General features: G+C 34.3%; 1 protein-coding gene and 1 pseudogene across 3 annotated transcripts in view, besides 1 other annotated feature; one reads left to right on the top strand and one right to left on the bottom strand.

Moving 5' to 3' along the window:
* Positions 1–23232, top strand: part of LRP1B (LDL receptor related protein 1B) — a 1899594-nt gene that overhangs the window by 1210769 nt on the left and 665593 nt on the right. For all 3 annotated transcript variants that reach the window (NM_018557.3, XM_017004341.2, XM_047444771.1), the window contains exons 22-23: positions 12171–12371; positions 17083–17328. In NM_018557.3, coding sequence (NP_061027.2) covers positions 12171–12371; positions 17083–17328 — 447 coding nt within the window. The remainder of the gene's footprint in view (positions 1–12170; positions 12372–17082; positions 17329–23232) is intronic.
* Positions 14432–15168: an enhancer, noted in NCBI's record as "OCT4-NANOG hESC enhancer chr2:141662649-141663385 (GRCh37/hg19 assembly coordinates)". NCBI's record gives its function as "activates a minimal SCP1, AML or CMV promoter by ChIP-STARR-seq in primed H9 embryonic stem cells {active_cell/tissue: H9 hESC(primed)}" and the evidence as "EXISTENCE:reporter gene assay evidence [ECO:0000049][PMID:30033119]".
* On the bottom strand, positions 20945–21942 carry LRRC57P1 (LRRC57 pseudogene 1; annotated as a pseudogene).

Genomic DNA, 23232 nt, shown 5'->3' with positions numbered 1-23232 from the left:
ATTTTTGACCAAGAAGTGCATTGTGCCGCATCTGTTCTCTTACACTCCAGACTAACAAATAGCAGTTGTATTATAAGTGGGGAAAAGGGAAGTGAATTTTCAGTCACTCTGTCGTGGAAAAGAAACTCAGAAATGCCTTTCTTCATAGTGATCGCAAGGTACCGGGAAAATAGGCCCTCCAGCTACTTGTAGGAATGTAAATTTAATCCTTCTGTCCTACTTGTAGAAATTCGTGTAAAGAAAAGTAGGATTGTATAAGGTTATATATGCACAAATATATTCAATGAGTCATTTTATTTTTAATAGTAAAAAATTAGAAACAATATATTGCTTATCAATAGGGATGGTAATAAATGGTTGTGTATTCACGCAAGTATTCTAATGTCATTAAAACAATAAAAAAGGAATTCATGTGAAGGTGAGACTTCAAGTTTACACTCTGAAGTTTCTGCTTCTCTGTTTTCACTTCTCAACACACAGAAGTGATGATAAAATATAACAGGATAAAATAAAGGAGATACTGCCTGATGAACAAAAAATATGTATCTCTGAGTAACAGAAATATAGCACAGTATCAAGTGGTGTGCTGAGCTAAAGCTGAGTACCTTACTGAGTTGGGTATGTAGGCTAGCAGAAATGAATGGGTGCTCAGATCTTAGGGTCAATAGAAATAAAGCTGTCCCACATGAAGCTGGGATCTGGAGGCAGGCATTACTGGAAATCAGAACCTGGAAAGAAATTCCATTTGCTTTTGAAAGGAGAGTTGAAAAACTATACATATCACTGCTAGTTGCTGCCAGTGGTAGTTACTTGAATGAAGTCATGTGCCTAAAGAGATGGGAGGACACAGGCACTGCAATTGAGCTGAACTTCTGTCTGGCTTGGAGATTGAATCTGATAAAATCCAATATTGTTTTAGGATAGAATCTCACACAAAAAATATAAGTTGTATTTCTGAACCAAGATTGCTGGAAATAATGGAGTGGGCCAAAGTCCAAGCAGCAATGCTTGTAGATAGGCACAAGTAAACTCATAAAGTCAGAGAGGAAAATGAAGGTTGTGATCCAAGATGAGATTACAAACCAGAATTTTAACATATGTGAAGAAAACTTTCTCATCAAAATCAGTCATTACAAAATAAATTATTCATGACTAAATGAAAATAAGCTATATGTCTGAAAAATAAGTTTACAATAAGTATGTTGAGACCCTCGAAAAGAAAAAGAAAAAATATTACTCCCAAAATGACTAAGAATTCAGCACAGATATGACAAGCAGAATAGTTGCAATAGGAAAAGGTGGAAAATGAGACTATCTTAGTTCAGGCTGCTGTAACAAATTATCATAAACTGGGTTGTTTAAACAACAAACATTTATTTCTCACAGTTCTAGAGACTGAGAAGTCCAAGATCAAGAACTGGGAAACCTGGTGTGTGTCTGAGGCACTCTTCCTGGTTTGCAGATGGCAATCTTCTTATGATATGCCAACTCTACTCTCGTAACTGATTACCTCCCAAACCTCCCAATACCATCACACTGGGGATTAGGATTTCAACATGAATTTGGTCTGGACACAAACATTCGGTCTATAACACCTATAAGAAAAATGTGGTTCAAAACCACAGTGGGATTGCATTCTTTCGACATCAGTTGATTGATAATAAACAAGCCCAGTAATACCCATGCTGGTGAGAGTACAGGAAGCAGACACTTTGCTTTCAGGGAGATTGGTGAACCTCTATGGAAAGCAATATATTTCAATGTTTACAATGTGTCTCCAATTTTACCCACAATTCCACCTCTAGGAATTTATCACACAGATATATTCATGCATTTGAGGAGTGAGATGTACAAAGATATTTATTTAAAGCTTTATTAAATGTGTTTAATAAACTTAAACCAATACATATATACTCTTCCATGTACACCAAAGTTATAGAAAACTCTTTCAAATTTGACCATATGTTAGGTTCCAAAGAAGTCTTAAAAGTATTTCAAATAATTGGCAATTTACAAAAAGCATTCTCTACACACACACACACACACACACACACACACACAAAATAGAAATCTACAGCAGAATGATTTTTAAAAATGTATTTGGAAACTAGGATCATACTTCAAAATAATCTGGATTAACTAAGAAATCATACATATATTTAAATATTTAGAACTGAATAAAATGGGTAATATATATCAAAATGTTTATGACTTCTAAAAAAATAGACTTTATATTTTAGACAAATTTTAGGTTCACAGCAAAATTAAGCAGAAAGTACAGAGACTTCCTGTATACTCCCACCGCCCTCACATGCACAGCTTTCTTTACTGTCAATATACTGCACCAAAGTGGTACATTTGTTATAATCAATGCACCTATAGTGACACATCTTTCTCATCCAAAGTCTATGGTTTACATGACGGTTTACTTTATTTAGATGTTGTATATTCTATGGGTCTTGACAAATATATGATGACATGTATCCATCATTATAGTATCAAGGAGAATAATTTCACTGCTCTAAAAATCTTTCGTACCCTGCCTGTTTATTCTTCCCTCCCCCTTAGCTCCTGGAAGCTACTGATCTTTTTACTGTCTCTATGGTTTTGCCTTTTCCAGAGTGTCATGTCACTGAAATCACATCATATGTAGACTTGCCATATTGACTTCTTTCACCTTGTAATATGCATTTGAGTTTCCTTCATGCCTTTTCACGGGTTGGTAGTTGAAATCTTTAAGCTTTGAATAATATTCCATTGTGCCACAATTTTTTAATCTGTTTACCCACTGAAGGACATCTTTGTTGTTTCCAAGTTCTGGCAATTATGAATAAAGCTGTTGTAAATATCTACATGCAGGCTTTTGGGTGGACATAAGTTGTCAATTCATTTGGGTAAAGACCAGGGAGTCCATTTACAGGATAGTAGGGTCAGAGTATGTTCAGTATTTGTAAGCAATGGCTGCACTGTCTTTCAAAGTGGCTGTACCATTTTGTATTCATTCACTTGAGATGAATGAAAATTTCTGCTGCTCTATATCCTTGAACACCTTTAGTGTTGTTACTGTTCCAGATTTTCATCATTCTGATAGGTATACAGTTGTATCTCATTATTGTTTTAATTTGCATTTTCCTAATGACATATTATTTTGAGTATATTTTCAAATGTTCATTTGCCATTAAATTGCTTTTAATAGTTAAAGGTCCCAAACAACCTAAATAGGCCAGAATAGGACACTTAGGTGCAAACATGATATTTCTGTATAGTAGAATGCCTTGCAGATTTGGAAGTCATTATAATGCACTGACATGTACACTTCTCTGTGATTACATGTTGAGTGAAAAGTGCAGGAGTGCAAGAGTGGGCATAGCATGTAATATTGTTTAAGTGGTGAAAAGAAAATAAAAGTATATTCTTTCTATAATAAAAACATTTCTGTTTTCATTCACAAGAAACTATTGTCATTGTTTGTCTCTAAGTATGGGGAAAAGTGGCTAGGAAGAATGACTGAGAAGGTATCACAACTTTTACTGTGTCCTTTTTTAATTGACTACCTTTCTTTGACTACCTTTCTAAGAGTTGTGATAGTTTGGTGCTGACTCATCTACCTTCCCCTCTAGATTCCATTGGAATAAGCAACATACATTTTGAAATCAAGTTCCAGAGTAGTGTTATTAGTTAATGACAAGTGATCTTTTAGCAGAAGAATGTAACAGAACTGACTGGCATAGAGAACTGACTGGCACACATGTGGATTTAACTTTAACAGTGGCATCATACTCTGTTCTGATCTGCTATGTAATGAAAATTCTCTATGGGCTTCTGTGAATGGCAAAACATTATTCTTGTCTATTTTTGGATTGTTTTGTTTTCTTTCCCCTATTGTTGTATCAGTGAATACAGAATAAAATGATGAATTTAATCATTGTGGAAAACCAATCTGGATTATTAGAACCAAAAATATCCTATAATGGTACAGTGATTTTGTTAGAATTATATGATGGGTTATATATGAAATATTTCTGAACACATCCCTTTTTTTCTTTCTGGAACCAGCCCTATGGAATACTTCTGATTATTTCTGATGAAAATAATATGGCAAGCTGTTCATTGTTTATGTGCCAGAAAGCTAATAAAATATTTTGCATTTTTCTTTTTATGAGCCTCCTATATTTTTCCTTGATTCCTCCCAGTGACTTTTTTTGTTTGTTTTTTTTCTTGAGACAGAGTCTCGCTCTGTCACCCGGGCTGGAGTGCAGTGGCGAGATCTCGGCTCACTGCAAACTCTGTCTCCTGGGTTCACACCATTCTCTTGCCTCAGCCTCCCAAGTAGCTGGGAGTACAGGCGCCTGCCCCCTCACCCGGCTAATTTTTTGTATTTTCAGTAGAGACGGGGTTTCACCATGTTCCCCAGGATGGTCTCGATCTCCTGACCTCGTGAGCTGACAGTTTTAAACCTTTTGTTGTATGCCTACTCTAGTTGTTTCCCTTCAGTCCTGTCTATAAAGAAGAATAAACAATTCTCCTTTTTGTCCAGGAGGGCCCTTTTTTAGATTTATTTTATTTATTTATTTATTTATTTATTTATTTATTTTTGAGACAAAGTCTTGCTCTGTTGCCCAGGTAGGAGTGCAGTGGTGCGACCTCAGCTCACTGCAACCTCCAACCCCCAGGTTCAAGCAATATCTGCCTCAGCCTCCTGAGTAGCTGGGATTATAGGCATGCATCACCACACCTGACTAAATTTTTTTTTTTCTTTTTAGTAGAGATGCGTTTTCACCATGTTGGCCAGGCTGTTCTCGAACTCCTTACTTCAAGTGATTCACCCACCTCGGCTTCCCAAAGTGCTGGGATTAGAGGTGTGAGCCAGCGCCCCCAAACCCTTCTTTAGATATTGATCCTGTGGCCTCCTAATCCTTGTGGGAGCTTAGTCACTTTTCTTGTTTGGTCTTCTATTTCTTTCTCCACACTAATTTTTCTTTCTCTATATAACTATATTTAGTCCAATAACCTGAAAAACACTTCTTTGATTTTATTACCTTTTCCCTGTCTTCCTTCTTCATTTCATTAAATCACCTTATATAAGTACCTCGATGTCTTATGTCTCACTAATTCCTCCACCCCTTGCAATCTAACATCCAATGGCTTCCCTTGATGGAAATGGCTGTTTCGATGGTCACCAGGAAAGATTTCTTAGTTTATGCTCTTCTGTGTTTTGAGTCCTACTCTGCCATTCAGTAACTGCATGAGTGCAGATAAGTTACTAAACCTCTCTACATTATCGCTTTCTGATCTGTAGAATAGATATGATAGTAATAACTGGTAGAATGTACAAAGAGTGCCTAGAACACAGTAGAAGCTTAATGAATGACACTTTTCACTACTAGTACTGCACCTCGGCTTCTTTCTCTGCAACACTTAACCCTGCTGCATTTCCTCTCCTTTTAATATTTTCTTATGAATTCTCACATTGGATTGTTCTCTTTAGCCACATGGCATTTAGAGTCCTCTTTTTATTTCACTTTCCCTTGCCCATTTTCCTCTACCTGTCCCTCATATTTAATTTTAAAATATAATTGTTGAGCACGTAATATGTGTCCAGCATTGTAGATATTCTTCTCTTAATTTTTTTGCTCCTTCTCATCTTTCTGCAAAGTCTTCATAGCAATCTATTCTGTCCCCAGTTTTAACCATCACCTCTAGGACTCCAAAATTTCCGCCACTGACATTTACTTCCCACTTCCAACCCATTTTTTCCCGATGCATTGCTGAACATTCTACTTTCTCTTCAAAGTCAGAAAGGAGTAAGAATATATCATTTCTGTTAGAATATGTAATCCCCTGTATGCTCAGATTTAAAGCAGAAAGCACCCTTTGACACTTCTAACTTGAAATCATTTTCCAAGTCCTAGTCCTACTGAGGTTACTTATGCAATATCTCCAACATAACCCATTCCATTCTCTACTCACATCTCATAACCTAAGGTTAAGCTTTCATTATCTCTCACTCAGATCCTTGTGTGGCCAACTGTGTTTTCCTCTGACAGTCATTAGCTTCAATCCACTCTATCCACAGTTTTGGCTTCCTCTTACCTCAAGATGTGACCTGAACACATACTTTAAAAAAATCTTTCAGTCGTTCAAATTTGCTGAATCTTATAGACAATCTCCATTGCTAATTCAAAAAGTGTCTCAATTTTCTTAACCATAATCAGATTAAGAAACGCTTCTTGAATTAGGGGCCCCAAACTGCTTCATTATTGCTTTTTGAACAGGTCCCATTCTTTCCTGCTTTTATACCTTTAGATAACAGTTTCATCTTTTGTGTGAATTCGATTAAACAAATAAGGTTGAATATTCAGCATGTAAAACTGCGTTATGTTCAAAATTACCTCCCAAAAATCACACATTAAACTTAATATACATGGTTCTATGTATATAGCTCAGGATAATTTGTACCTATAACTCTATTATAAACAAGGTAATGCTTAGCATAAAATAAAAAGCAAATATAAAAATTAGAATTTTATAATGAATTCACTTAGAGATGGAACAAAGATCAGCATAAGAAAGAACTGATTCTCTTCTACTATCTATGCCCTAACACATTCCTATTGAGTAGCAAGAGTAGTCACTATGCTATTAAATTTTTATTTCTTTCACCTGTTCCATTTACTTGCTTTTTGATTTTACATGGGGTATATATTCGAATGTTAAGACTATACGCATAAGGCAGCTGTCTATATTAAATGCTTTTTTCCTTACGTAAAATTTTCTACCATCCTTCAAAACGCTGTTCAAAAGAATAGTTTGGTAAAGCTTGTTTCTCATCCTTCCAATCATACATATTTTCCACCTCCTTGAAAATCCATAGCACTCTCTGATGGTTATATGGCTTTCATCTTATTCTACTTTATATGTTCAATATTAGAACATTTGTCATTACTAGAGTTATTGCTCCACAAGGTCAGGAATTTGTCTTCCCCATCTTTCTACACTCTTCAGTAGAAAACCAAGCATATAATACTCAAAAAACATTTGTCAAATTGAATTGAAACCAAACACTGTTAGAGAAATAAATATGTAGGTAACACTAAAGGTTAGTAGTATAAACATTTTATAAAATATTATAGACCAGTGTTCAAAAAGGCATTATAATAATATAGTTTCAAGTAAATCCATTTAGACTTTCTCAAAGATTTACTTCATATTAATATTATTATTCTTAATATAAACTGCCAGTCATATCCCAGAACAGAAATTATCCCATTACAACATTTGTTATCTTTTTATTAAACTAAAAACAAGTCCGTTTACAAAAAGGTAGATCTATTTCAGAACATGGTCAAGAGTTTAACACAGAAAAGAGAAACTCTAGAAGAGATTGTATCAATTTATTTTGGGAAGCTAGCATGTTTTCTACAGTCATACAAACTTAAGTTTTTCTATACCTGTTGACTTTGTAGTTGTGTTTAACCAAATTTCTGGGTTTTGGGGATTTTTTTTAAAAAATTTGCTGTTATTGTTGTTACTTATCTATTCTTATTTTCTTTTCTCAAAGGACAAAACCACAGTTACCAAAATAGAGTCTTTGACATGTAGTTATCAAGTTGAAAACATCATTATAAATAAATGAGAAAATATTTTGTAGAGCTCAACTTCATACTAATTATCTAATATGGTTTTCGGCATCTTCTAAAAAAGAATTAGTAAACACAAAATGATTTACTTGGTTACTTGAATTACTCATGCACATTTAAAAAACTTTATTTTAAAGATTTTTGGATATTCTATCTATTGGATAGTTATAATGTCTATAATATGTTTTACTATTATTAATAACTACTTATTTCTTATATATAAAGAAGGGAGTTTAAGCAAAGAAATCTGTGATATTTGTTCATTCAAGATTTTATGTCCAATGACTTGATTAGGTACTTGATTAGGTGAGGATTTATCTTGATATGAATCAAGTAAAAATCAATATGTTTAAAGTATTTTTACTGAGGCCATTTGCTTTTGGGTTTTACCTAATTCATGTGCATGAGTTAGACATTCATTAAACTTATCATACTTGGTTCGCCTTCTTATCTACATTTTGGTAAGAACTAAAACCAAACACAAATAGAGAGAAGCAATTAAGCTTCAAACAGCCCCTAAAAAATCAATAGGAAGAGGGGGGCTATTTAAGCTTATACAATTCATTTAATCTATGTATTCATATTTATTCATATCTCTGGTGACATTATTTGTTTTAAAGTTTTACAGTCATCTGAATATTATTTTTGTTTACCTTTTCCAAGCAGTATTTATGTCAGGGATGGCAAATAGCCTTACTGCTATTCTGACTCTAAAAGATTGATATTGATTTATAGATATATCTGTTGAAACAATTCTAAGGTCATTTTGGAGTCAGTGGTTGGGAATGCCATCATGGATTGGTGATGTGTCTGGGAAAAAACAAACAAAAAAAGGAAGTTGCATTTTGATAAACCAAACTAAAAATGGGAATTTGTATATTCTTGAACTCTTGCAAATGACTTCATACAATTTAATGCTTAAGTATAGAATGTCATATTTTAGACTACAATGATATATTATGCATTGATCTTTTCTTTCTAACTAGATTATAAGCCCCTTGGTGACAAGGATCAGGCTTTATGCTTGCTTATATTTCTGAAAGCCCTTAGGAAAGGGTAAGGCACAGAGTAAATTCAACATATAATTTTTTACAAGAAGGCTGTTGAATCTGTTAGGCTTCACTGCATATGTGTGTACATAATCATTTTTTTAAAATAAGCTAATATATTTTGGAAAAGTTACCGAAGTATACGGTAGAAGAAAAATAAAGCAGCACAAGAGTATTCAATGAAAAGTATCTCTTCCTCCTACAATGGGTTTCCAGTAACTAATTCTTTCCAGAGGCAACCAATTTGAACTATTTCTTGTGTATCCCTCCAGAAAGAATTCAAATAGAGACAAGTCTATCCATGTACTGATATTGATAAATGTATGGAAATATAATCATAGATATTTATAAATAGCTAACTCCCTTTCAACACATCAAAAGCCTACATACACTGAGTTCTATGCCTTTTTTAAATTAATTAAGCTTGAAAATTAGTTTTCATTCACTTATGTAGATTGACACATTCTTCTTCACTCAAGCATATACCTTTAATGTATGGATGCATTGTAATTGATGTCACCAGGCTTGCAGTAATTATTTAAATTGTTACTTTCCTTTCCCTAATATATACAAAACAGCAGTAGATATCCTAGTATCTTTGTGCACTTGTGCAAAGATATTTATGAAAACATTTTCTAAAATTAGAATTACTGTGGTGAAGAGTTGACACATGTTTCATTTGCTGGATTTCTTGACATTGCCCTAGAGAGAGGTTATCACAATTTTCAACATTTGTGCTGTTTCTTACATTATTGTCAAATCTAGTTTTGTACTATCCAACTTTTTGATCTTTATCTAATAGAGTAGGAAGGATGTCAACTAGTTATTTTAGTTTACCTTTTTTAATTGAAAGGGATATTGAATATCTTATGTTTCTGAACCATTACAATTTCTTTATGAATCTTGCACTTGGATTGATTGTTATCTTATTGATTTAAAAGAACCCTTGTATTTTTTAAAAATATGCTTTTTGTCATATAATGAAATATTTTTGAAAATATGATTAAATGTTTTTTTCTGGCTTATTGACTGTCCAGTGACTTTGTCTATGGAGTTTATTGTTGCAATATGGAATAAAATATGTTTATAAAATTCAGCTTCATGTTTGTATTTTTATCATCCTTATTTTAAAATGATTACCTCTTTGATATGTCTGGAATATATTATAGCATAAGAAGCCAAGTAGAGATTCAGCTTTATTGTTTATCCTCCAGATTGGCAAATGAGGTGATACTGCATCATTAATTTTGTTCTCTGCTATTTAGATTGCCAACTGTTTCATATATAAAATCCATATACATAAATAGACCTATTCCTAATGTCTCTGTGCTCTTTAATTATTAATATCTTTATTGATATTTATAAAAAGTATTTTAACTACTATTACATTAAATTACTTCTAAATAGTTGGAATATATACAGTTTCTACTCATTAAGATTCCTCTGTTTTGTTTTTTGTTTTGGTAAGATTCTGAATGATTTTTCTGGTTTTATTTTTTAACTTAAAATAAGCTTTTAGGGTTGCATTGATGTTACTATTTTGAAAGGATTGTTTAAGAGAAAATTATTATCTGTACTAATCCAAGACCAAATAATATCTATATTCAAGGCTTTTTTTCAGATTTTTTGTAGAATTTTGGATTTGTATAAGTGTTGTATAGTTCTTGTACATTTTAACCCAAAATACATTTTTTATGATAAAATTTTAATTGGCCTTTTCTTCTAGTATATGCTCTCTATAGATATGAAATCTGTTTTTCTGTTAATTTTGAAACTAGCTACCTATTTTTTGAATTCTTAGTTTATGTAATTTTAATTGATTTTATAATTATATGATTATATTAACAACGTGTAATGACACTCTTTTCTAATGTTATTCCTCATTTCTAATATTATACCTCATTTCTTTCTATTACCTAATTGTCCTAGGTAGTATTTACAGAACAACATTATTGGTTTTATTTATGATGTTAATGCAAAAGTTTATAATGTTTCTCTATTTATATCAAATCTAATGAAGTATGTCAATTCTTATTTTAAGAGTATTTTTATCAATGTTGAATATCAAATGTATTTTAGTTAACTATGGAACTGATTATATTTTATTTGACATAATAGTGTGAAGAATTATTGATATATTTTTATAAATAAAACATTTTTGCACCTATATTTTAATTATTTTAAAATTTACTTATAAGACTTAAGAAGACATTTAAATACCTAATGACTTTTGGATATATACAATGTAATATTTTCCATTTCCCTTGTATTTGCCCCACTTATTTTTATAAGATGCTGGTATGTAGTCAGTCAATAACTAGTATTATCTTTAGGTACATTTAAAAAATGTATATTACACCTGAACATTGCATAATCTGGAAAAGATAATTAATAAGAAGTCAGTGAAAGACTGTTTCGAAAGGAGGAATAATTTGCAGTGAAACATTTACATAGACGACAATGCCAGTCATGGTGGCTCATGCCTGTAATCCCAGTACTTTGGGAGGTTGAGGCAGTGGATCACCTGAGGTCAAGAGTTTGAGACCAGCCTGACCAACATGGTGAAACCCCATCTCTACTAAAAATACAAAATTAGCTGGGCATAGTGGCACATGCCTGTAATCCCAGTTACTTGGGAGGCTGAGGCAGGAGAATTGCTTGAACCTGGGAGGCGGAGGTTGTAGTGAATGGAGATTGCACCATTGCACTCCAGCCTGGGCAACAAGAGTGCAACTCCATCACAAAACAAAACAAAACAAAAATAACAATGAACATTGATCTCTTTGTGTTTCTCACTGTTACTGTTGAATCATGCTGGCTAAACAATAATTATTTTTTTCTTCTAGAAACAATAAAAAAATTCTATAAATTCCGTCTATACATGTTAGTCGCCAAAATGTTTGATATCATTTGATATTCTCTTATGAAAGGGCATGTACATATGTCTGGAGTGGGGAGTTGGGGTGTTGATGTTATAAATGTAAATAGAAGGACAACCTCTCTTGCTAAAATGAGGCATTTACCTGAATTTGAGTTTCTGACAGGCACCGATAGCATTCACCTAAATTTAGGGATCTAAAAGGCACTAATATACAAATGTATCTTTAAAGTTTGCTTTTAACAGTTTTGCAATTAAACTTTCAATTAGTCACAGAAACCTTCTTTTTATATATATATATATATATATATATATTATATAAATATAAATATATGTATATATATATAGAGAGAGAGAGAGCAGAGCAATGACTTGAATCTAAAGAAAATATCAAAGCTCAAACAATAAGAGCACTTTAAGACCAGGGCAAGAAATATTCAAATGCTGTCATGAAAATAAACTGTCAAATAATAAGCAAATAGATTTTGTTTTCTTTTGCTAAAGACAAGTAATTCTGCCTGTGACTGAAGACAATAATGGCCACTCATTATCATAATGACCTAATCACAAAAATCAAACTGACACTATTTCTGTTTTCTTAAGGGAGATGCATCAACAAAGCATGGGTGTGTGATGGAGATATTGATTGCGAAGATCAGTCAGATGAAGATGACTGTGACAGTTTCTTGTGTGGACCACCCAAGCATCCTTGTGCTAATGACACCTCAGTCTGCCTGCAGCCAGAGAAACTCTGCAATGGGAAAAAGGATTGTCCTGATGGCTCTGATGAAGGCTATCTCTGTGGTATTGCATGTTTAATTGTACTGACTTCTCCATGAAAACTACAACCTTTTAGTTCAGTTGCTGTTACTTAATATAGTAGCATTCATTCCTTTCATTCATTCCCTTTAAATGTAGCTTTTAGCATTGAACCTTGTCTACATTTCTCAGACACTCTAAGGCTACAGTAAAAGTCTTCAATGTGATCAGAAATTTCTGAAAATAAGATAGGAAAAGCTAGCCTATATCGAAGTTACTTAATTATAGAGCTGTGTTCATCATTTAGATCTCTGGATGGCCAGTGATGTTCCCGCAGTTGAACTGATTATTTGTTGATCCCTCAGAACAAGGAAAACTTGTTGTTCCTCATCTACGGATGGAACTCACCACCACCCTATATATTTTGATAAGCCTTCTAATCATTACAATAGAAACTGATTTTTAGGAAGGGAAAGAGACTGGATAATAAAGCCAATTGAATATGACCCAATTTAACATAATTTTCCTTCAAATTTTTAGTCCTCATACAACAGCTTTCTTTAGTATGCCTTATCTAGTTAAAATGATGATTTCAATGAGCTTTGAAATCACGTTGACTAGCAATCTTTCTTACCAACCAGCACATACAAAAGAAAATTACATTTCCTTCTCTTCCGGGAGATCAGAGATTTAGTAAAGAGATTTTTTAAAAGTGTTTTCTAGATAATACTGAAGGTGACATCAATAGATAATGAAGAACAGTTTACAGAATGATAAGAACAATAATGAGATGACTTGAGGCTGTGAGAAAATGACTTTAGGAAATAATGAAGCTGACTGATTGAAAGTAGGAAAGACAACTACATTGAAGCCCAAAGTTATATTTTGACCTCAAATGAGCATTAATAGCATACTGAATGATATAAAAAAGGAAGTTTTTTTTTTTTTTACCATATGTGGTAAAATGTCTTTTTTTAAGTCATGATTTTATAAAATAACCTTGAAACAGTGAATGCAACAGTCTTCATTCGATGAGGCTAAAATTACACACAAAAAAATTAAGAACAAATAAAAGAACTTAAGTTGAGCAACAAAAAGGTTATAAATAAAAGATGATAAACTTCATTCTTCTGTATTCATTTCTTTCTTGCCCAGCTTATTCTTTGTAGTGGAGTAGGTTGGTGAGAGGTTTGCTCATGAAGGTTGTAAATACAATTCTAAAAGAAATTATTAATACTCTTAAAGAATGTAATTATGGAAAAACTAGACTTCAACAAGCTTAAATTCTTTTCTTCAATTAAGTCTTTAGGTGATTTAATTTCTTAAAATCTTGGTTTTCTTATAATTAAAATAGAGGCAATGGTATCTATCAGGTAATCATGGTAATAATGCCTGATGCCCTGCAGTTATTGAAAAATATTAGTACTTTTCTCCCTCTTCCCCATCTTTCAAGTTAAATGAAATAAATAAAAGGCAAAAGACAGAAAGTACACCCATTGAGAAAAATGAAGAAAATGATAAGAAAAAACAACCTCATTTTCCTATTCTTCACTTCCCAAATTGGAAAAGTAAAAGAGTAATGAGAGAATTTCTTCTTAATTCATTTCTTTGTCTACTTCAGAATTGAAAAGCACTTCTTATCTAGCCATATGGTCATTACTTAAAGAGCTTTGCCCAAACATTTCAAAAAATTATAGAGACTGAAATAGATTATAAGGAGGAATCTGGTGTGGAAGTACCAGAGAAAATAAAAAGACAATTTTGTCATGATTGCAGCATTGTGGCATATTGAACTACACACCGCACTCTTTCAGAGGTGAAGTCATGAAGACTTAGAACAATGAAAACAGAAAGCAAATACTGGCCAAAGGATTAGATTGCCTTTTCTATGGTTATAGCAATGTATATAAGGAAAAGGAGAACCCAAGAATGTGAATCTACTGATTCTAGTGAAGAGATTTTTTTTTAGGGAAATTTTTAAATAATTTCAAAAGAAACGGATTTGCACTTAAGAAACAAACGAAAATAGATTTTAATTACTCTAAAATGGAGTTATAGTGATCCTTGTTACAATAATATGTCAAAGCCAGATGCTAACTAGTAAAACAGTAAGTAAAGATTTTACTCATTAGTAACTCTTGTGATAGTCCACTGTGAACTGAGCTCAACTTCATGAAACTAAAAACTGGAAACTTTGAAGGTCGGGGTGTGCTAAGGAAAAGGCACTAAGGGGGTTAAAGGGGCTGCTCCACAAGATTACGCCACCTGGGTTAGATAACTGGTGCTTAACAGGAGGGGAAAACAGGCTTCTCTTATCTTTGTGACAAGAGGCAGTGGCAGCAAGTAAGAGTAAGACCCCCACTGGGCTGGGAGGGAGAATGAGAGGCAGAGTTCCCTTCCCAGGTGTTTGCACTTCAAAGAGAACGCTCTCAGCTCCTTAGAAGGTAGTTCTGGGTAGTAGAAGATTTACACCTCAAAAAGGCACAGAAAGGATTTATAATTGCAAGCTTTCTAAAGCAACTACTCTAAGAGGAGGTTCAGGGCCTATCTGCCTATCATCATGAGCGTTCTCAGGCAGACAATTTAATGTGGGAGCTGGGGTCATTCAAGGGACGTAGACTTAAGCTGTTGGACAATGTGCTAGGGATTGTTCAAGTCTGTTAGTATGTATTTGTGGCCCAGGGGCTTGGGGAGGGGGGCGGTGGAGGTGAGGGCAGCAGGATGAAATCATTTGTGCTGAGAGTCTGCAGTTTTTATTGGCCAAGGCTGAAGTCTAGTCAGAAGAGGACTTAGAGGATCCTGACTAGTGTTTGGTCAAGGACAGAGTCTTTGTCAGGTAATAAAAAGTTTTAAAAGAAGTTGCAGGATTAATGACAGGTTTAGGGCTAAGAATCAACAGGTTCTAATCATGCAAATATTGGCATTATATATTCAATTTCAGATTTCAATGTGAATTTCATTTAACCTAAAATCTGTGACTTCATTCCACAGATAGGATTAGAAAGAGACACTTCAGTACTGAGAAAACCGTGACACTTGAAATAAGCTAAAAGCATTGTAACAATTTTTTTTTCTTTACCTCCTGGGCACAATGACATTTCTTTACAGTAATTCTCTGGAAAAAGAATGTCAGTTGAACTAAAATGGGGCAAATACTTTGAAATGACTGCTGTTTTAAGATGCTTATGATTATGGGTGAACAAACATATTTGGAGGAACCAAGAGCTGAATCTATTTTTTTTCTTCAAAATAATACCAAACTTGAATTGAATTGTTAGAGAAAACAGTTCATACAATCATTTTCCTTTTCTTATTACTGTAGCTTCTTTGATGGTGACAAATTATATGAAGAAGAGTTGACCCATATAAAGCTTTTAAAAATGTAGAAATGTTTTTAAAAGCCTTACATTTCAGGCCAATTTTCATACTGGATACATTTTCATAGACAACCAGAAATATTTGCATTATATAAATATTGCTTCAATTTACTGATTATTAGACAATAGTCTTTTTAGCACATCTCAAAACATACACAATTAAATAGGGTTTGAAATCCACTTGAAAATATTTTTAAAGCCAAGAAAGACAAAGCTTCTTTCAGCCTTATTTCTATGTACCTAATGGTACACAGTGGTAGATAATGATGTGGTTTCAAAGACAATTATCTGCCATTTTCTTCAAGGTTGTAAGCATGTCATATTGAAATTTTCTCAAGTAGACAATTCTGAGTAAATTTTAGGACAATGTGTGCTTTTATACAATTTTTCTACTTTAAAAAATTCATCAAATATTTTTAACTTGTTACTCAATGTTAGGTATACACTGGTAAACAGAAGAGATATTTTCTGTACCCTCATGGAGCTTACAATTTGGTAATGAAGTAGAATAATAAATAAATATATTTAAAGGACAGCTGTATATTTAAATGCTATTTAAAAAGCTAATCTTTTTTACAAGCTAATCACATTATATATGTAATCATATGTGTAATCACATTATATATGTAATCATATGTAATCATGTAATTATATATGTAATCGATTATCTATGTAATCAATACTATTGCTCATTATTTCAGACAAAATACCAGGACAACTTTTTTTTTTTTTTTTAGTGTTTTGCTTATGATGTTTCCATGGCGTCATTGAATGAATCATAATAACCAATATATGAGGCACAATGTATAATTCACCTAACTTAAAAATAAATGCCTACAGCTGGTAAAGGATAAAGTAATCCATTCTGCATTTTAACTCCAAAATGGACTGTACAAGTGTTGCAAAAGATATATAGACACATATATTCACATATGTGTATATGGATATACTTGTTAATTTATTAACATCAAGATATGTCTAATATTAAGATCATCATGGTATGTACATCTTTTTTGGAAGACCTCTACAAATTATTTTGCACCACTGCTAAAAGGCTCAGCATAATCTTTCCAGTCATAATAGAAACATTGAGCTCACTTTACATCTGTGGGGCAAAGCAAACTATACTCCCAAGTTTTATAGAAATGAAAATCTTCCATTTACAATTTCTATAATATAGAATTAAATTTGACCTTTGGTTAAATCCTATCATCATTTCTATACCAACCCCTGAAGCAAAAATAAGCCAAAGAGGGCTTTCTTATATTCATTTGTAGTATCCTGGCTAATTGTAGGCTTAGAGAATTGAGTTCAATGATTAGTATTTAACTGAGGAAAGCAATTGATAAGACCTATAATCTGTTCCCCCCTTTTTATAGATGAGTGTTCGCTGAACAATGGAGGCTGTAGCAACCACTGTTCTGTTGTTCCTGGAAGAGGAATTGTCTGTTCCTGCCCTGAAGGACTTCAACTCAACAAAGACAATAAAACATGTGAAATTGTGGATTATTGTAGCAATCATCTAAAGTGCAGCCAAGTATGTGAGCAGCACAAGCACACAGTCAAGTGCTCATGTTATGAAGGTTGGAAGCTGGATGTAGACGGTGAAAGTTGTACAAGTGTTGGTAAGTAACTATTTTGTGTGTGTTGCTATATTTAAGAATAGATCTTGAAAGAAACAAATCCCAAAACTGCTTCAGAAAATTAATGAAAGGATTCAACTCATTTTAGATAAAGCATTTAACTATAATGTGTTATTTTAGACCTACTATAAAATTTCTAGAGAGAAAATATAATAATCCTTACTTTTGCTATCCATTGAATTGTTACCATCAGATTATTCTTTTTCCCGAAACATTGATTTTATTATCATATCCCGGATGGGCTCGTTTTTGCATAGGCAAAAGCAGTTGCTTTGTTTCTCTGTGTATGCTTTTTTAGGGGGTCCTGCCCCACATTCCCAATTGTTATTTCTAATGCTCTTGAAAACAATTTCTTGCTCTGGCTGTGTTCATCTTCTAACCACTTATCTAAAACATTCTGCGGATTCTCTAGGTGGTTTTTCACAGTGGGAAAGGCAAACAAGGGCTTTAGATTATGATATTTCAACTCTAATTGTGTAACTTACATTCATTCTTTATGTGACCCTAGGCAGGTTACATAACACTGTGGAGCTTCAGTTTTCTCATTTTTCAAGTAATGTTGCCCATTTTAACCATTTCTTGCTTATAGCATGTTGTAAGAGTAGCGTGAAAGACTTGTTACTGTGCCGCACATCCATTGGGTGTTTAAAGAAGTATCGCTTCCCATCCACTTTTCTAGATTCTTAGTCTGAGTCCACAGGAAACTTAGAAGTCTATGGATAGAATTGAAGAGATTCAGGAACTTTGTTTGGGAAAATATTATAGCATTATTTTAACTTCTAACTGAAAGTTAGCATATCTTTCCATTGTGAATGTATGGCACAGACCACCAAAGTCATTAGCAGCAACTATGAATTTGCTGATAGAAGTAATAGATATATTCATATCACATTATAGTTGCCGCACATATCTCAAAATATCACATGTTCAGGCTTGGAAACCCGCTACTAATTCAATAATGGGATCCATTAGACCCACTGCTGGATCTTATTATTGAATACACTAATAAAATCCTCTCTGTGGGGGAATATCTCTTCAACTTTTTCCAAGACAAAAAGGAATTAGAATAGGAATTAAAATATGCTATCAAATAAAGTTTGAATTTCATGACATCAAAATAAATATATAATAAATACATTTATGATCATATTCAAAAATTATTTAATTTCAATAAGTGCACTTCAATATGTTTTCTCATCTATACTTTTTGAAACACTTTATTCTTATTGTTTTTGCACTTTAAAAAAATTTTCTAATCTAGCACAACAGGGTGACTGTAGTCAAAAATAATGTAATTGTACATTTTAAAATAACTAAGAGTATAATTGGATTGTTTGTAACACAAGGATAAATGCTTGAGGTGATGGATATCCCATTTACCCTGATGTGATTATTCTGCATCACATGCCTGTATCAAAATATTTCATGTAACCTGTCATAGGTAGCAACTAACTGGGGCCATTGGCACAGGGGGTAAAAGAATTTACCAAGACAGTTGTAGGTAATGAAAGGCAGATTTGTTAGAGGAAGTATGAAAATACATTGCAAGGTTGCAACAGGCAGCACAGCAGAGACAGGGCTGTCTGCAAAGAGGCAGGGGCTGGAAGGACAGTTTATATGGTGGTGCTGGAGGGAGCTACTTGCAGATTGAGGTCATTGTGTCCACAGGACAAGGAGGTCGTTGTTTATGATGAGATTAGCCACCTGTCCAATCGATTGTTCATTGTTCTTCCCCACTTGGAGCCCTCCCCCACCTGGAGCCCCTTCCACATTGTTGCTTACTTATCTATCAGGCCTCCACATAACCTATAAATATACTACTACTATAACCCCTACTATGTACTCACAAAAATAAAAATTAAAAATTATTTTAAAAAAAGCACGACTTTCTGAGGAGTCCACATGCTTCATCAGACTGATAAGAACCCATATATTATGAACCTCTATTCATTTTGTTTCTTTCACTTAGACTATACTTTCCTCACTTCATCTCCAGAAATCCTGGATATTCTTTGAGACGTGCTGGCTCAAGTCTTTTTTCATCAATTAAATCTTCTTCCAAATATCCTTGCTTTCCATTTATTTTTTCTTTTTATGTCTAGGACATATTGTTCTTGAATATATGTGATCACATTTTTAAATGGCTGTTTTATATTCTTAGATATCTTCTTATTTCTTTACAATAAAATAATACAAACTTTGAAGTTAGAATTCAGGTTACAGACTTTTCTCTTGTGTTTTACATAATATCCAGCCCACTTCTGGGAAAATAATATGCAGTTAATAGATACTATATTCTTTCAGATATTATTGTATTATTTTAATCTTTTACTTTAAATTTTCTTTTGTTTTGTGATTATTTTTGTAGTAGTTTTCTTCTGACCATTAAAATTTGAGTCCCAGAGCATAAGTTTAGCAGACATTTATTCTATATTTCTTCTTCAATATTCTCACACAAAGTAATTGGCTTGAGAGGCTGAAAAACAGCAATTTGTTGTAATGGTAATAGTCATTTCATTCACCTATGTGTTTTGAATGAAAAAGCAATAGATCAAATATTGACCTCAGACACATTTGTGATCATATTTCACATGAGAATTGGCTCCAGATGTTTGTTTTGGATACAGATAACAAAATGATTCAGTGTCTTAGAGTGGTTATATACCATATGAAATAAATAACAACTTATGTTTAATGTTAGAATAATTCAACATTTAAATACAGGTGACCAGGGACAGAGATAACTCTCCTAATGGAATTGACTCCTCTGCTCTCAGCTCAGAATGGAACTGTAGGGGCAGAAAGGAGGTGTTCCCTTTCCTCCCCATAATAAGGGTCATAGATGACTGTCCTATAACAAAGACCAGTTAACAAGAGAAAATCATAGCAAATTTATTTGATCATAGTTTTTTGTTTTTTTTTCTTGTTTTAAAATATTATAGCAATAGTTTATTGATAGGTAATTTGATTAGTAGAGTTATAAATACAAAAAGGAGGAAAGATTACCAGAAAGAAGACATTATTTCTAACAAATCTTCAAGAAAATATTGATTATTAAAATGACTTTTATCTTATAAGTGTTGCATACACAGTTTTAGCTCTTCAGAGCCCTCTATCGATAAGTTGCCTGAAATAGTAAAGAATTTGCTACTGCAGCCTTGGGGAACATTTTTTAGTGTTGTATTGGTGCTTCTCTGACAAAGCATACTTTTATTCAAGACAAACAGTCCCATATTTATGTAAGTCCTAAATTCCAAGTATAAACACTGCAATTGAACTGACGGACTGGAACAAAATAATAAATCCTTAGATTAACCATACCAGCCTCTCACAAATTACTTGAATTTCATACAAATATGAAGTGTTAACATAGAAATGAAATGGCAACTGACTTTTTGAAAGCTCACACATTGAAACTGAATGAAATCTCAAGCTGTGGTATGGAGTTATTCTGTTACCAGGCAGCACTCCCTCACCATAAAAATAGCAGCTAGCTACTGGTTTCTTAATGCCAAACTAATGATGATTTTGAAGACCAACCTTGCTCATTGTCATACCCATGACTCAAATGGAGAACTTTTCCTGTCTCCTGGTTTCCTTTCTTTTAGCTTAGTTGAGAAGAGCCCTGAAAAGGAAAAGAAAAAGGATCATTGAGTAAAACATAATGTCCTGGAGTATCATCTTCTCATTGCAGATACCCTTGACAACAACAGGAGCCTTTGAATCAGCAGCACTCCAACAGGTCCCAAGTCAGTATGCTGCAAGGTTCCCATAGACCTGGAGAACTTCATGCAACTTCTTGGTGGCCATGAACCTCTCCATGTACTTATTGAAGTTTATTTTAAAAAGATTACCTTCCATATCAAGTGGACAGATCTGGCAATCACTGCAGATGCTCTGTGAAAGCATGCTGAGCTCAAGACAGTTCTCTTCCAGGTGAAGAATTTTAAGGCAAGGACAGCCAGATATCTTTATTGAGACCTGAGATATCTTCTTCCAGTTGAGGATGAGTTTGATGACCTGCAGCTCTCCTACTATGTCAGGTATACTTCAGATCTGGTTCTTGGAAAGATCCACCACATCCGGTGGCCTAGGCTACAAAGTTGGGTGATAGCGCTCCCAGTTGGTTCCCAGAGAGGCTCAGGGTCTTGAGGGTAGAGAGTTGCCCAAAGGTAGATGGCAGCTCTCTCAGGTGACTGCCATTTAGGCGTAGCATCTCTAGAATTTTTTTAGGATTGCATAATCTCATTAGGCAGACCAGTTTATGTTGTTCAGGGGGAGGTTCTTCAACAGAGTGAACTTTTGTATCAGCAAAAGTGGTAGGTTGTCCATCTTGTTGTTGGACAAATCGATGGTCCTGGGATTGCTCATTAGTGTCTACAATTCTAAGGAGAACTTGGTCAGCCCACGGTCCTTAAACTGGGAGACACCAGTTTAGTGTGCCCATTCCACTTGAGTACCGAGGGCACCATTTCCTATTTTAGTGCTTCAGTCTACATCCCTGCTATGGCTCAGCTGCCAGATGGTTCAGCAGGGGAAGCCCCAGGACCCACACTAACTAGGTTGTGTTCCCCAGACTTAGTCCTGGATAGGAACCTGGTGATAGTTTTATGTGACACAGAAACCTTCAGAATGAAGACCCAAAGACCCAGGAAAAGCTGTCCATTTTTAATACTTAGGCTCAATGAAGTATGGACAGACATGTAGAAATATGATTGGACAAAAAGTGTATGATCTAATGCTTATAGATGGTTGTGGGGAACCAGCACAGCCTGTCTGCTCTGATTCTTCTGAACTTCTCTGGGCAGCATTGCTTCCCCCAGGTTATGGGGCAGACCCTTTCTGGAATGAGCATCTTCAATTTCTTTATGGCCAGCTCCTAAACCGAAAAGTTGGTGTCTTCATCAGGGTTCTCTAAAAGGACAGAACTAATAGGATAGATGAATACATGAAGTGGGGTTTATTAGGAGAACAGACTCACACAATCATAGGGTGAAGTCCCACAATAGGCTGTCTGCAAGCTGAGGAGCCCGGAAACCAGTCTGAGTCCCAAAACCTCAAAAGTAGGGAAGCCGATAGCGCAGCCTTCAGTCTGTGACTGAAGGTGCGAGAGCCCCTGGCAAATCACTGGTGTAGGTACAAGAGTTCAAAAGCTGAAGAACTAGAAGTCTGATGTTTGAGGGCAGGAAGCATCCAGCATGAGAGAAAGATAGAGGCCAGAAGACTTAGCAAATCTAGTCTTTCCACATTCCTCTGCCTGCTTTTATCCTAGCTGTGCTGGCAACTGATTAGATGGTACCCATCCAGATTAAAGGTTGGTCTGCCTCTCCCAGTCCACTGACTCAAATGTTAATCTCCTTTGGCAACAGCCTCACAGACACACCCCGGAACAATACTTTGCATCCTTCAGTCCAATTAAGTTGATCCTCAATATTAACTATTACAGTCTGGGAAGGTTAGAATAATATTTTTAGGCTTTATGGCTGGCTTTGGGGAAAGGGGCTGCTAGTGTCTATGACTCGCTCTGGGAAAGACAGGTTATGGTTACTGTGGCTTGCCTAAGGAGAGAATGAGGCATGAAAAACAGGAAGGTAGGAGAGGGTCAGGGAGAGACTTTGCTTCTGAGGTAGCTTCTTAGGGCTTCACTTTGTGGTGCTGTTTTCTGAGCCCCAACAAAACTCTAGCAGTACCATATGATTTCTCACTGTTAAGATTGCTATATTTTCCATCTGGTTTTGTTCATAATTTTATAGAAAAGTAAAAGTATATTTCATCTTTTAAAGTTACAATGAAACATTTTTAAGTGGATAATTTAATCTTCTGGTAATTAATCTCTTCCTGAAATGTATAGTGCACTTTGTGCATCTGAAGAAAAAAGGCTTTATT

This window comes from Homo sapiens, chromosome 2 (genome assembly GCF_000001405.40).
Source record: "Homo sapiens chromosome 2, GRCh38.p14 Primary Assembly".
Lineage (NCBI taxonomy): Eukaryota > Metazoa > Chordata > Mammalia > Primates > Hominidae > Homo > Homo sapiens.
This window is presented reverse-complemented; position numbering and strand designations above follow the sequence as displayed.